This window comes from Homo sapiens, chromosome 4 (assembly GCF_000001405.40).
Source record: "Homo sapiens chromosome 4, GRCh38.p14 Primary Assembly".
NCBI classification, from domain to species: domain Eukaryota; kingdom Metazoa; phylum Chordata; class Mammalia; order Primates; family Hominidae; genus Homo; species Homo sapiens.
The window spans coordinates 88177519-88191787 of NC_000004.12; the positions used below are offsets into that span (position 1 = coordinate 88177519).

At 39.6% G+C, this 14269-nt stretch overlaps 1 protein-coding gene across 3 annotated transcripts in view, besides 3 other annotated features; it reads right to left on the reverse strand.

Annotated features, from left to right (window-relative positions):
* Nucleotides 1-14269, reverse strand: part of ABCG2 (ATP binding cassette subfamily G member 2 (JR blood group)) — a 141363-nt gene that overhangs the window by 87255 nt on the left and 39839 nt on the right. The gene's annotated exons all lie outside the window — the stretch shown is intronic.
* Nucleotides 614-1300: an enhancer, noted in NCBI's record as "H3K27ac-H3K4me1 hESC enhancer chr4:89099284-89099970 (GRCh37/hg19 assembly coordinates)". NCBI's record gives its function as "activates a minimal SCP1, AML or CMV promoter by ChIP-STARR-seq in primed H9 embryonic stem cells {active_cell/tissue: H9 hESC(primed)}" and the evidence as "EXISTENCE:reporter gene assay evidence [ECO:0000049][PMID:30033119]".
* Nucleotides 731-790: an enhancer, noted in NCBI's record as "active region_21708". NCBI's record gives its function as "activates an Ori minimal core promoter by ATAC-STARR-seq in GM12878 lymphoblastoid cells {active_cell/tissue: GM12878}" and the evidence as "EXISTENCE:reporter gene assay evidence [ECO:0000049][PMID:35858748]".
* Nucleotides 801-890: an enhancer, noted in NCBI's record as "active region_21709". NCBI's record gives its function as "activates an Ori minimal core promoter by ATAC-STARR-seq in GM12878 lymphoblastoid cells {active_cell/tissue: GM12878}" and the evidence as "EXISTENCE:reporter gene assay evidence [ECO:0000049][PMID:35858748]".

Genomic DNA, 14269 nt, shown 5'->3' on the forward strand with positions numbered 1-14269 from the left:
ACTGAATTGGAGCCTCCATCAATTGTCCTCCCCACGGGAACACCAAATTGAACCACTATCTACCCCAAAAAGCACCTTCACAAGCACCAAAAATCAGATGAACGATCATAGTATGGGTTTTAACTTCATATCATTGAAAGCAACACTGAAGAAGGTAGGAAAGACAGTCTTGAATTGCGGACACCACCCCTCCCCAATCTCTCTCGGCAGTGGCCACATACCATGGAGAGAGAAATCTGTGTGTTGGGGGAGGGAGAGCACAGCGATTATGGGACTTCGCATTGGAACTCAGTGCTGCCCTGTCTCAGTGGAAAGAACACAGGGCAGAATCAATGCTGATGAAGACAGCATTTAGACCAGAGGTAACCAGAGGGAATTTGCCTATCCCAGTGGTCAGGACCAGAGTTCCAGCAAGCCTTATCACCGTGAACTAAAGTGCTCTGGGGTTCTAAATAAACTGGAAAGGCAGAATAGGCCACGAAAACAGCAATTCCTGGAAAAGTTTTGGTGCTATGCTGGGCTCAAAACCAGTGGACTTGAAGGGCAACATGACCTAGTGAGACACCAGCTGGGGCAGCTAAGGGAGTGCTTGCACCAACCCTTACCCAAGCTCAGGCAGTGCAGCTCACAGCTCTGGGAGAAACTCCTCCCTTCCACTTGAGCAGGGGCAAGGGAAGAGTAAAGATGACTTTGTCTTGCAACTTCAATACCAGCTCAACCACAGTAGAATAGGGAACCAGTCAGAGTTGTGAGGCCCTAGCTCTTGGATAGCATTTCTAGAAACACCCTGAGCCAGAAGGGAAATTGCTGCCTTGAAGGGAAAAACACAGTCCTGGCAGGATTTATCACCTGCTGACCAAAGAGCCCTTGGGCCCTCAACAATCAGTAGCGGTACCCAGGCAGTACTTGTTGTAGGCACGGGGTGAGACTCAGAGACTTGCTGGCTTAAGCTGTGACTCAGCACATTCCTAGCTGTGGTGGCTATGGGGAGGGGCTACTTCTGCTTAAGAAAAGGAGTACTCTCAAGTGTAATGAAGACTTTGTCTTGCAGCGTAGGTACCAGCTCAGCACAGTGAGGTAGAGCACCAAATGGGCTCTTGGGGTCCCTGATTCCAGGCCTTGGTTCTTAAACAATATTTCGGGACCTGCCCTAAGCCAGAGGGGAGCCCACTGCCTGAAGGGAGAGTCCCAAACCTAGCAGCATTCAATACAAGCTGACTGAAGAACCCTGGGGCAGGCAGTACTTGCCACAGGCCTGAGACAGTACTGGGCAGTAGGGAGAGACTCCTCTGCTTGTGGAAATGAGAGGGAAGTGCAAAGGACTTTGTCTTATTGCTTGGGCTCCAGCACAGCCTCAGTGGAATACAGAACCTGGTAGATTCCTGAGGTTTCCAACTGCAGTCCCTGGCTCCCAGATGACATCTGTGGACCTGCCCAGGACAGGGAGAACTTGCTGCCCTGAAGGGAAGGACACAACCTGGCTGACTTCACCACCTGCTGATTGTTGAACCCTAACACCTTGAGTCAACATAGGTGGTAGACAGGCAGTGGTTACCATGGGCCTTAGGCAACACCCAGTGCTATGCTGGCTTTAGGTCTGACCTAGTGCAGTCCCTGTGTTGGTGGCCACAGGGGTGCTTGTGTTACCCCTCTCCTAGCTCCAGGCGGCTGAGCACAGAGAGAGGGAGAGACTCCATTTGTTTGGGAGAAAGTAAAGGAAGAGAACAAGAGTCTCTGCCTGGTAATTCAGAGAATTCTTCCGCATCTTATCCAAGACCACCAGATTTTACCTCTGTGAGTCTGCAAGAGCCACAGCGCGACAGGGCTTGGGGTGCCTCCTAATGAAGATGTGACTACAGTGACAAAAAACTTAGATTACAACACCCAACTCCCACCGTACACCTGGAAAGCCTTCCCAAGAAGGACAGGTACAAACAGGCCCAGACTACAATAAATACTTATCTTCAATGCTCAGATGCTGATGAACATCCTCAAGCATCAAAACCATCCAGGAAAACATGACCTCACTAAATGAACTAAATAAGTCACCAAGGACAAATCATGGAGAGACAGAGAGATATGACCTTTCTTTCAAACAGAAAATTCAAAATAGCTGTTTTCAGGAAATTCAATGAAATTCAAGATAACACAAAGAAGGAATTTACAATCCTATTTATGGGAATCAGAGTCCTAAAAATGTAACAAAACAATTGAAATAACTAAAAGGAATCAAACAGAAATTATAGAGTTGAAAAATGCAATTGACATACTGAATAATGCATCAGAGGATTTTAATAGCAGAATTGATCAAGCAGGGAAATAACGAGTGAGCTTGAAGACAGGCTATTTGAAAATACACAGGCAGAGAACACATGCACACATCAAGAATAAAAAAAGAATGAAGCATGCCAACAAAATCTAGAACATAGCCTGAAAGGGACAAAGCTAAGAGTTATTGGCCTTAAAGAGGAGGTAGAGAGAGGGGGGTAGAAATTTATTCAAAGGACAATAACAAAGAACTTTCCAAAACTAGAGAAAAATATCAATATTCAAGTAAAAGGGGGTTACAGAACACCAAGCAGATTTAACCCAAATAAGATTACCTCAAGATATTTAATAATCAAACTTCCAAAGATAAAGGATCCTAAAAGCAGCAAGAGAAAGGAAATAAGTAACATATAATGGAGCTCTAATATTCCTGGCAGCAGACTTTTCAGTGGAAATCTACAGGCCAGGAGAGAGTGACATGACATATTTAAAGTGCTAAAGGAAAAAAACTTGGATCCTAGGATGGTATGTCTGGAGAAAATACCCTTCAAATATGGAAAAATAAAGACTTCCCCAGATAAACAAAAACTGAGGAATTTTATCAACACCAGGCCTATCTTACAAGAAATGATAAAGGGAGTACTGCAATCTGAAAGAAAAAAACGTTGGCCAGGTACAGTGGCTCATGCCTATAATCCCAGCACATGGGAGGCCAAGGCAGGAGAATTGTGTGAGCCCAGGAGTTCAAGACCAGCCTGGAAAATATAATGAGACCTTGCCTCTACAAAAAAAAATTTTAAATTTTTAAATTTTTTTATGGAAATGGTGGTGTGCACCTGTAGTAGCAGCTAGCTACTCAGGAGGCTGAGGTGGGGGGGCTCACTTTAGCCCAGAAAGTATAGGTTGCAGTGAGCTGAGATCATGCCACTGCACCCTAACCTAGCTAACAGAGTGAGACCCTGTCTCAAAATAAAAGGTATAATAAATAAGGAAAAAGAAGAAAAGAATGTTAATGAGCAATAAGGAATCACCTGAAGGTACAAAACTTACTGGTAATAATAAGTACACAGAAAACCACGGAATATTATAACACCGTAATTCCAAAGTGTAAACTACTCATATTTTGAGTAGAATGACTAAAAGATAAACCAATGAAAATAACTACAACAACTTTTCAAGACATAAAAAGTGCAATAAGATATAAATAGAAAAAAACAAAAAGCTAAAAAGTGAGGGGATAAAGTTAAGTGTAGCATTTTTATTAGTTTTCTCTTTGCTTGTTAGTTTGTTTATGCAATCAGTGTTAGGTTGTCATCAGTTTAAAAGAATGGGCTAGCCGGTGCGGTGGCTCACGCCTGTAATCCCAGCACTTTGGGAGGCTGAGGTGGACGGATCATGAAGTCAGGAGTTCAAGACCAGCCTGGCCAACATGGTGAAACCCCATCTCTACTAAAAATACAAAAACTAGACGAGCATGGTGGTGCGTGCCTGTAATCCTAGCTACTTGGGAGGCTGAGGCAGGAGAATTGCTTGAACCCAGGAGGCAGAGGTTGCAGTGAGCCAAGACCGTGCCACTGCACTCCAGCCTGGTGACAGAGCAAGACTCCATCTCAAAAAAAAAAAAAAAAAAAAAAAAAGAATGGGCTGTAAGATATTATTTGAAGCCAGGCATGGTGACTCATGTATGTAATTCCAGCACTTTGGGAGGCTGAGGCAGAAGGATTGCTTGAGCCCAAGAGTTCAAGATCAGCCTAGGCAACAGAGGGAGACCCCACACCTACAAAAAATAAAAGAAATAGCCTGGCGTGGTGGTGCACATCTGTGCTCCCAGCTAATCAGAAGGCTGAGGTAAGAAGGTCACTTCAGCCCAGGAGGTTGGGGTTGCAGGTAGCTGTGATTACACCACTACACTACAGCCTGGATGACAGAGTGAGACCCTGTGTCAAAATGTATATATTATTTGCAAGCCTCATAGTAACCTCAGATCAAAAAAGATAAAACAGATACACAAAAACTAAAAAGAAATTAAAACATACTGCCAGAGAAAATCACTTTCACTAAAAGAAAGGAAGGAAGATAAGAAAAAAAACAACCACCACCATAAAACAAATAACAAAATGGCAGGACTAAGTCCTTACGTATCAATAATAACATTGAATGTAAATGGACCAAATTCTCCAATAAAAAGATATAGAGTCGTCAAATGGATTAAAAAAACAAAACTCAATGATCTATTGACTGCAAGAAACACTTCACCTATAAAGACACACATAAACTGAAAATAAAGAAATGGAAAAAGACACTCCATACCAATAGAAACCTAAAAAGAGAAGATGTAGCTATATATATGTAAGACAAAAAATTTGAAAAGACCATTATATAATGATAAAGGGGTCAATTCAGCAAGAAAATATAACAATTGTAAACATGTATGTACCCAACACTGCAGCACCCAAATATATAAAGCAAATATTATTAGAGCTAAAGAGAGAAATACACTCCAATATGATAACAGCTGGAGACTTCAACACCCCACTCTCAGCATTGGACAGATCTTCCAGACAGAAAATCAACAAAGAAAAATTGAACTTAATCTGCACAATACACCAAATGAAACTAATAGATATTTACAGAACATTTATCCAACAGCTACAGAATACACATTCTTCTCCTCAGCCATGGATCTTTCTCAAGGATAGACCATATGTTAGGCCACAAAGCAAGTCTTTAAAAATTCAAAAAAAAATCACAATTACCTCAAGTATCTTCTCTGACCACAATGGAATAAAACTAGAAATCAACAACAAGAGGAATTTTGGAAACTATACAAACACATGGAAATTAAACAACATGCTCCTGAATGACTAGTGGGTCAATGAAGAAACTAGTAAGAAAATTAAAAATTTTCTTGAAACAAATGATAATGGAAATACAACATAGCAAAACCTATGGGATACAGCAAAAGGAGTACTAACAGGGAAGTTTATATATGCACCTACATAAAAAGGTAGAAAAACAGCCAGGCGTGGTGGCTCACGCCTGTAATCCTAGCACTTTGGGAGGCCAAAGCAGGCAGATCACGAGGTCAGGAGATTGAGATCATCCTGGCTAACACAGTGAAACCCCGTCTCTACTAAAAATACAAAAAATTAGCTGGGCATGGCGGCGGGCACCTGTAGTCCCAGCTACTCAAGAGGCTGAGGTAGGAGAATCACTTGAACCCAGGAGGTGGAGGTTGCAGTGAGCCGAGATCGCACCACTGCACTCCAGCCTGGGCGACAGAGTGAGACTCCGTCTCATAAAAAAAAAAAAAAAAAAAAAAAAAAAAAAGTGGAAAAACTTCAAATAAACAACCAAACTATGCATCTTAAAGAACTAGGAGAGGAAGGGCAAGCCAAACCCAAAACTGGTAGAAGAAGAGAAATTATGAAGATCAGAGCAAAATAAATGAAACTGAAACAAAGAAAACAATAGACAAAATCAATGAAACTGAAAGTTGGTTTTTTGAAAAGTTAAACAAAATTGACAAACCTTTAGCCAGACTAATGAAGAAAAAAAGAGAAAAGAAACAAATAAATAAAATCAGAGATGAGAAAGGAGACACAACAACTGATACTGCAGAAATTCAAAGGATCGTTAGAGTCACTATAAGCAACCATAGGATAATAAATTGGAAAACCTAGAAGAAATAAATTCTTGAATACACACAACCAACTAAGAATGAACCATAATGAAATCCAAAATGTGAACAGACTAATAACAAGTAACAAGATTGAAGCCATAATAAAAAGTCTCCTAGCAAAGAAAAGCTCAGAACCCAATGACTTCACTGCTGAATTCTAGCAAACATTTAAGGAAAAATGCCAATTCTACCAAAACTATTCCAAAAAATAGAGGAAGAGGGAATAATTCCAAACTCATCCTATGAGGCCAGTGTTACCTTGATGCCAAAACCAGACAAAGACACATCAAAAAAAAAAAACTACAAGCCAATATCCTTGATGAATATTGATGAAAAAATCCTTAACAAAATACTAGCAAATCAAATTCAACAATACATTGAAAACATCATTTATCATGACCAAATAGGGTTTATCCCAGTGATGCAAAGATGGTTCAACATATACAAATCCATCAATGTCATACGTCATATCAATAGAATGAAGGACAAAGACATGATTATTAAAACAGATGCTGAAAAAGCATTTGCTAACATTCAACATCCCTTCATGATAAAAACCTCCAAAAAACTGGGTATAGAAAGAATATTCCTCAACATAATAAAAGCCATATACAACAGACCCACAGCTAGTATCATACTGAATGGGGAGAAATTGGAAGCCTTTTCTCTAAGATCTGGAACAAAACAAGGATGCCCACTTTCACCACTGTTATTCAACATAGTACTGGAAGTCCTATTTAGAGCAATCAGATAAGAGAAAAAAATAAAGGGCATCCAAACTGAAAAGAAGGAAGTCAAATTATCTTTGTTGGCAGATGATATGATCCCATATTTGGAAAAACTAAAGACTCCAGCAAAAACCTACTAGAACTGACAAATTCAGTAAAGTTGCAGGATACAAAATCAACATACAAAAAATCAGTAGCATTTCTATATGTCAGTAGCAAACAATCTAAAAAATCAAGAAAGTAATCCCATTTACAATAGCTACAAATAAAATAAAATACCTAGGAATTAACTTAATCAAAGGAGTAAAATATCTTTACAATGAAAGTGATAAAATAGCAATGAAAGAAATTGAAGAGGACACCAAAAATGGAAAGATATTCCATGTTCATAGATAGGAAGAATCATTGTTGTTAAAATGTCACATTACCCAAAGAAATCTACAGATTCAATGCAATCCCCATCAAAATACCAATGGCATTCATCATAAGAATAGAAAAACAAATTCTAAACTTTATATGGAACCTCAAAAGACCCACAATAGGCAAAGCCATCCTGAACAAAAAGAACAAAACTAGAAAAAACACATTACCTGACATCAAATTATAGTACAGAGCTATAATAACCAAAATGGCAAGGTACTGACATAAAAACACATAGACCAATGGAACAGAATAGAGAAACCAGAAACAATTCCATACATCTACAGTGAATTCATTTTTGACAAAGGTCTCAAGAACATACAGTGGGAAAAGAATATCTCTTCAATAAATGATGCTGGGAAAACTGGGTATCCATATTCAGAAGAATGAATCTAGACCCCTATCTCTTACCATATACAAATATCAAATCAAAATGGATTAAAAACTTAAATATAAGACCTCATGGATGGGCGAGGTGGCTCACACCTGTAATCCCTACACTTTGGGAGGTCAAGGCAGGTGGATCACCTGAGGTCGGGAATTTGATACCAGCCTGGCCAACATGATGAAACCCTATCTCTGCTAAAAATACAAAACATTAGCTGGGCGTGGTTGTGGGCACCTGTAATCCCAGCTACTCGTGAGGCTGAGGGAGGAGAATTGCTTGAACTCAGGAGGCAGAGGTTGCAGTGAGCTGATATTGTGCCACTGCACTCCAGCCTGGACAACAAGAGTGAAACTCTGTCAAAACAAAACAAAACTCAAACTATGAATCTACTAAAAGAACACATTGAGGAAGATCTCCAGGATATGGAACTGGACAACAGTTTTTTTGAGTAATACCCCATGAGCACAGGCAACTAAAGCAAAAATGGATAAATGGGATCACATCAAGTTAAAAACTTCTGCACAGCTAAGAAAATAATCAACAAAGTGAGGGGACAAACCACAGAACCATATTAATGGGAGAAAATATTTGTAAACTACCCATCTGACAAGGGATTAATAACCAGAATGTATAAGGAACTGAAAAAAACTCTATAAAAAACTAATAATCCAATTTAAAAATGGCCAAAATATCTGAACAGACATTTCTCAAAAGAAGACGCACGAATGGCAAACAAGTAAATGAAAAGGTACTCATTATCATTAATCAGAGAAATGCAAATCAAAACTATCATGAGATATCATCTCATCCCAGTTAAAACAGTTTTTATGCAAAAGACAGGTAATAACAAATGCTGTCAAGAATGTGGAGGGAGAAAAGGGAACCCCTGTGCACTGTTGGCAGGAATACATATTAGTCCAACCACTATGGAGAATAGTTTGGAGGTTTCTCAAAAAACTAAAAATAGAACTTACATATGTAAGTACCAGGAATCCCACTGCTTGGTATATACCCCCAAAAAAGGAAATCAGTATGACACAGAGATATCTGCACTCCTATGTTTATATTACAGCACTATTCAGAATAACCAAGATTTAGAAACAGCCTAAGTGTCCATCAGCAGATGAATGGATAAAGAAAATATGCTACTTATACACAACAGAATACTATTCAGCCACAAAAAAATTAGATCCTGGCATCTGCAACAATATAAATGGAATTGAAGGTCATTATGTCAAGTGAAATAAGCCAGGCACAGAAAGACAAACTTCTCATGTTCTCACTTGTTTGCATGAGCTAAAAAATCAAAACAAGCGAACTCATGGAGATAGAGCAGAACGGTGGTTAGGGGCCAGGCGCAGTGGCTTATGTCTGTAACTCCCAACACTTTGGGAAGTTGATGTGGGAGAATCTCTTGAGTCTGTCTGACACCAGCCTGGGCAACATAGTGAGACCCCATCTCTATTACATTTTTTAAAATGGTGGTTATAAGCATGGTCGGTGGCTCATGCCTGTAATGCCAGCAATATGGGAAGCTGAGGCAGGCAGATCACTTGAGATCAGGAGTTTGAGACAAGCCTGGCTAACATGGTGAAATCCTGTCTCTACTAAAAATACAAAAATTTAGCCGGGCGGCCGGGCGCGGTGGCTCACGCCTGTAATCCCAGCACTTTGGGAGGCCGAGGCGGGCGGATCACGAGGTCAGGAGATCGAGACCATCCCGGCTAAAACGGTGAAACCCCGTCTCTACTAAAAATACAAAAAATTAGCCGGGCGTAGTGGCGGGCGCCTGTAGTCCCAGCTACTTGGGAGGCTGAGGCAGGAGAATGGCGTGAACCCGGGAGGCAGAGCTTGCAGTGAGCCGAGATCCCGCCACTGCACTCCAGCCTGGGCGACAGAGCGAGACTCCGTCTCAAAAAAAAAAAAAAAAAAAAAAAATTTAGCCGGGCATGGTGGCAGGTGCCTGTAATCCCAACTCCTCGGGATGCTGAGGCAGGGAGAATTGCTTGAACCCAAGAGGCAGAGGTTGCAGTGAACTGAGACTGCGCCACTGCACTCCAGCCTGGGAGATAGAGCAAGATTCTGTCTCAAAAAAAAAAAAAAAAAAAAAAAAAAAAAGGTGGTTACCAGAGACTGGGAAGGTAGTGTGGCAGGGGAGAAGTGGGGTTGGTTAATGGGTACAAAAATATAATTAGATGGAATGAATAAGATCTAGTATTTGATAGCACAACTGGGTGATTACAGGCAACAGAAATTTATTGTACATCTTAAAATAACTAAAAAAATATAATTGGGTTGTCTGTGACACAAAGAAAGGATAAATGTTGACCAGGTGCGGTGGCTCATGCCTATAATCCCAGCACTTTGGGAGGCCGAGGTGGGCGGATCTCTTGAGGTCAGGAGTTCAAGACTAGCCTGGCCAACATGGTGAAACCCCATCTCTACTAAAAATACAAAAATTAGCCAGGCATGGTGGTGGGTGCCTCTAATCCCAGCTACTCGGGAGGCTGAGGCAGGAGAATTGCTTGAACCCAGGAGTCAGAGGTTGCGGCAAGCCAAGATCATGCCATTGCACTCCAGCCTGGGCAATAGAGCAAGACTCCCTCTCAAAAAATAAATAAATAAAGGATAAATGCTTGAGGTGATGGATATCTCATTTATCCTGATGTGATTATTACATATTGTATGCCTATGTCAAAATATCTCATGTAACCCATAAATATATACACCTACAATGTACCCACAAACATTAAAAATTATATTAAAGGGATGAGCTAATTTAACAATTTGTACTAAGAAGAGTGAATAGAGAAGACACCCTACCAAATGGGGCAGTTTCTTACCAATCTCTGAAAATATGCTATTAACAACACACACAAATATCTTTTGTATCTTATAGTGGTTTCAACTACAGGCAGGATGTTTGGAAATGTCCAGTAGCATTTTTAGTCATCGTAATATCTGGGATTGCTATTGGCATGTGTGGTCATGGGTTGGGGAGGGAAAGCATCCTGTAAAATAAGCAACAGTGTCATAGCCTAAAAAGCACTGCTAAATCCAATGTCATAATGATTTTCTCTTATGTTTTCTTGTAAGAGTTTCATAAGTTTAAGTCTTAGATTTAGGTTTTTGATCATTTTTGTATATAGTACTATATAAGGTAAGGGTCCAACTTTATTCTTTCATATGCGGCTATCCAGTTTTCCCAGCCTCATATGTTGAAACATCTATCCTTTCCCGACTGAATTAGTCTTGGCACATTTGTTGAAAATCAATTGCCCGCATATGCAAAGGTTTATTTCTGGTCTCTTTATTCTATTGCATTGGTCTAAACGTCTGTCTCTATGCCCATACGACACTATTTTAATTACAATTAACTTTGTTTTTTTTTTTAATTTAATAGAGATGAGGTCTCACTGTGTTGCCCAAACTGGTTACAAACTCCTGATCCTTCCACTTTGGCCTCCCAAAGAACTGAGATTAGAAGCATGAGCCACCACACCCAGCCAGAACTTTGTAATAAGATTTAAAATCAGGAAGTGTGAGACTTCCAAGTTTATTCTTTTTCAAGATGATTTTGGCTATTCAGAGTCCCTTACAATTCATTTGAATTTTAGAATGGGTTTTTCTATTTCTACAAAAAAATGGCCTTAGGAGCTAGATAGGATTGCGTTGAATCTGTAGACTGTGTTGGGTAGTATTGCCATCCTAACAATTTTAGATCTTCCAGGCTGCGCAGTGGCTCATGCCTGTAATCCCAGCACTTTGGAAGGCCAAGGCAGGCAGATTACTTGAGCTCAGGAGTTCAAGACCAGCCTGGGCAACATGGCAAAACCAGTCTCTACAAAATATACAAAAATTAGCTGGTCTTGGTGGTGCACGCCTGTAATCCCAGCTACTCAGGAGGCTGAGGTAGGAGAATCACCTGAACCTGGGAAGCAGAGGCTGCAACGAGCCAAGATTGCGCCACTGGACTCCAGCCTGGGTGACAGAAGCAAGACCATGTTTAAACAACAACAAAAAAAACACAATATTAGATCTTCCAGTTCATGAACACAGGATGTCTGCATATTCGTTTACATTTTCTTCAGTCTCTTTCCGCAATGTTTTGAAGTTTGCAGTACACAAATCTTGCAGCTCCTTGGTTAAATTTATTTATAAGTATTTTACTCTTTTTGATGATATTATGACTTGAGTTGTTCTCTTAGTTTCCTTTTTGGATTGATTATTCATTGCTAGAGTATAAAATGCAACTAGGCCAGGTGCAATGACTCATGCCCAGGCCAAGAAGGGAGGATCAAGAGCTTGAGACCAGTCTGGGCAAAATAGTAACACACCTTCTCCACAAAAAATTAAAAAATGAGCTGAGCATGGTGGCACATGCTTCTATTCCTAGCCACTCAGGAGGCTGAGGCAGGAGAATCACTTGAGCCAAGGAGTTCAAGGCTGCAGTGAGTTATGATCATGCCACTGTACTCTAGCCTGGGCAACAGAGTGAGACCCTGCATCTAAAAATATAAATAAATAAATAAATAAATAAATAAATAAATAAGAAATAAAATGCAACTGATTTTTCTGTGTTGATTTTGTATGCCTCTATTTTGCTGAATTTATTTAGTGGCTCTAATTTTCGTGTGTGGAATCTTTAAGGTTTTCAACATAGAAGATTACAACATCTGTGAACAGAAATAATTTTACTTTCTCCTTTCCAATTTAAATGCCTTTCTTTTTGTTGCCTAATTTCTCTGGCTACAATTGCTAATACCATGTTGAATGTAAGTGGCAAAATCAGGCACTTGTTAATAATCTTAAGCGAAAAACTTTCAGTTTGATGGCACCATTGATATGAAGTTAGCTGTGGGTTTTTCATACATGGTCTTTATCATGCTGAAGACGTTTCCTTCTATTCCTATTTAGGGTTTTTATCATTAAAAAGAACAGTACATTGTTAATGAACAAATGAATGAAGTTAGTTTAAAGTGGTATGAATGAATGAGGTTAGTTTAAAGGAATATACAAAAAGAAATGTACATGAGTCATAAATGCAAAGAAGGCATGGGGTGATTTGAGGTAAATATGCAAAGTCACCCCTTATATACTGAACACAATTCCTTTAACTACAAGAGTTGTTGTTTGTTGGGTTTCTTTTTTCTTTTTAAAACAGTCTTTGAGGTAGATTTCTATTATTAAAGCCTGTTTTTATAGAGTTCAGAGTTCTTCCTTCCTTCTCTTTGATGCCTAATCTCCTTTATCTTCAGCCAGCAAATAAATCTCTAGTGCTATCAGGAAATACTGATTTTCTCACTTTATATCCCTGTTCTATCTGAACTCATCAGTCCCTAATCTCCGTTTGACCTCAAATCCAAGCCGTGGGCCTTCAGAAATGCTCTATAAAACCTGTTGTACAGGAATTGTAATTAAGTCATTCAACTATCCAGGAGTCTATTTACAAAATTAGGAGGGCATCTGGTTAATTGCAAAGTCCCTTCCAATTCCACCAGTGCACAATTCCCTTGAAGATGAGTTACTCAGCTTGCTGAATTTAAAGGTTGCTAAACACTTGCAGTAGATTTCAAACTGTGTTCTGATAAGCCAAGGTTACTAAGTAGAGGATTTAGGGACTCCAAGACTTTTGTGGAAATATTGTTTCTAAAATATATTTTAACCATTAAGAAAATGAAAAGACGAGCCACAGACTGAGAGAAAATATTTACAAATCAAATATCAGATAACTTATATCCATAGTATAGACTTTTTTCCCACAAGTAAAAATATATACAACATGTACACATTTTTAGTTCCATCTGTAAACTAAATTTAAAATATAAATATTGCACGTGCCCTTTTCTAAACGTTCAGGATAGAGGACCAATTTTTATCCAGATTATATAAAGAACCATTACAACTCAATACCAAAACAAATAACTCAGTTTAAAAAGGGGCAAAAATTGGCCAGGCACTGTGGCTCACGCCTGTAATCCCAGCACTTTGGGAGGCTGAGGCAGGCGAATCACTAGGTCAGGAGATCAAGACCATCCTGGCTAACACAGTGAAACCCCATCTGTACTAAAAATACACACACAAAAAAAAATTAGCCAGGCATTGTGGAGGGTGCCTGTAGTCCCAGCTATTCGGGAGGCTGAGGCAGGAGAATGGCGTGAACCCAGGAGGCTGGAGTGCACTGGCGCGATTTTGGCTCACTGCGTGCAGTGCTCCAAGATCGCGCCAGTGCACTCCAGCCTGGGCGACAGAGTGAGACTCCGTCTCAAAAAAAAAAAACAAAAAGGGCAAAAATTTACAAAGACATTTCACCTAAGATATATGAATGGCCAACAAGTACATGAAAAGATGCTTGGCATCATTAGCCATTAGGTAAATACAAATTCAAACCATAATGAGATACCACTTCATACCCACTAAAATAGCTATAATCAAAAAGACCTACAATAACAGGTGTTGGCGAGATGATGTGGAGAAATTGAAATCTTCATACATTGCTGGTAGGAATTTAAAAATGATAAAATCACTTTGGAAAACAGTTTGGCAGTTTCTTTAAAAGCTAAACGTATGTTTAACATATGAATCAGCAATTCATTTCTCAGAATCTGTCCAAGACAAATGACAGCCTATGTTTACACAAAGGGCTGTAAGCAAATGTTTTACAGTAGCATTATCCATGGCAGCTAAAAATTGGAAACCTGAATATACCCATCAACTGATAAGTGAATAAAGAAAATGTGGTATACTTATACAATAAAAAATCGTTCAGCAATCAAAATTAAT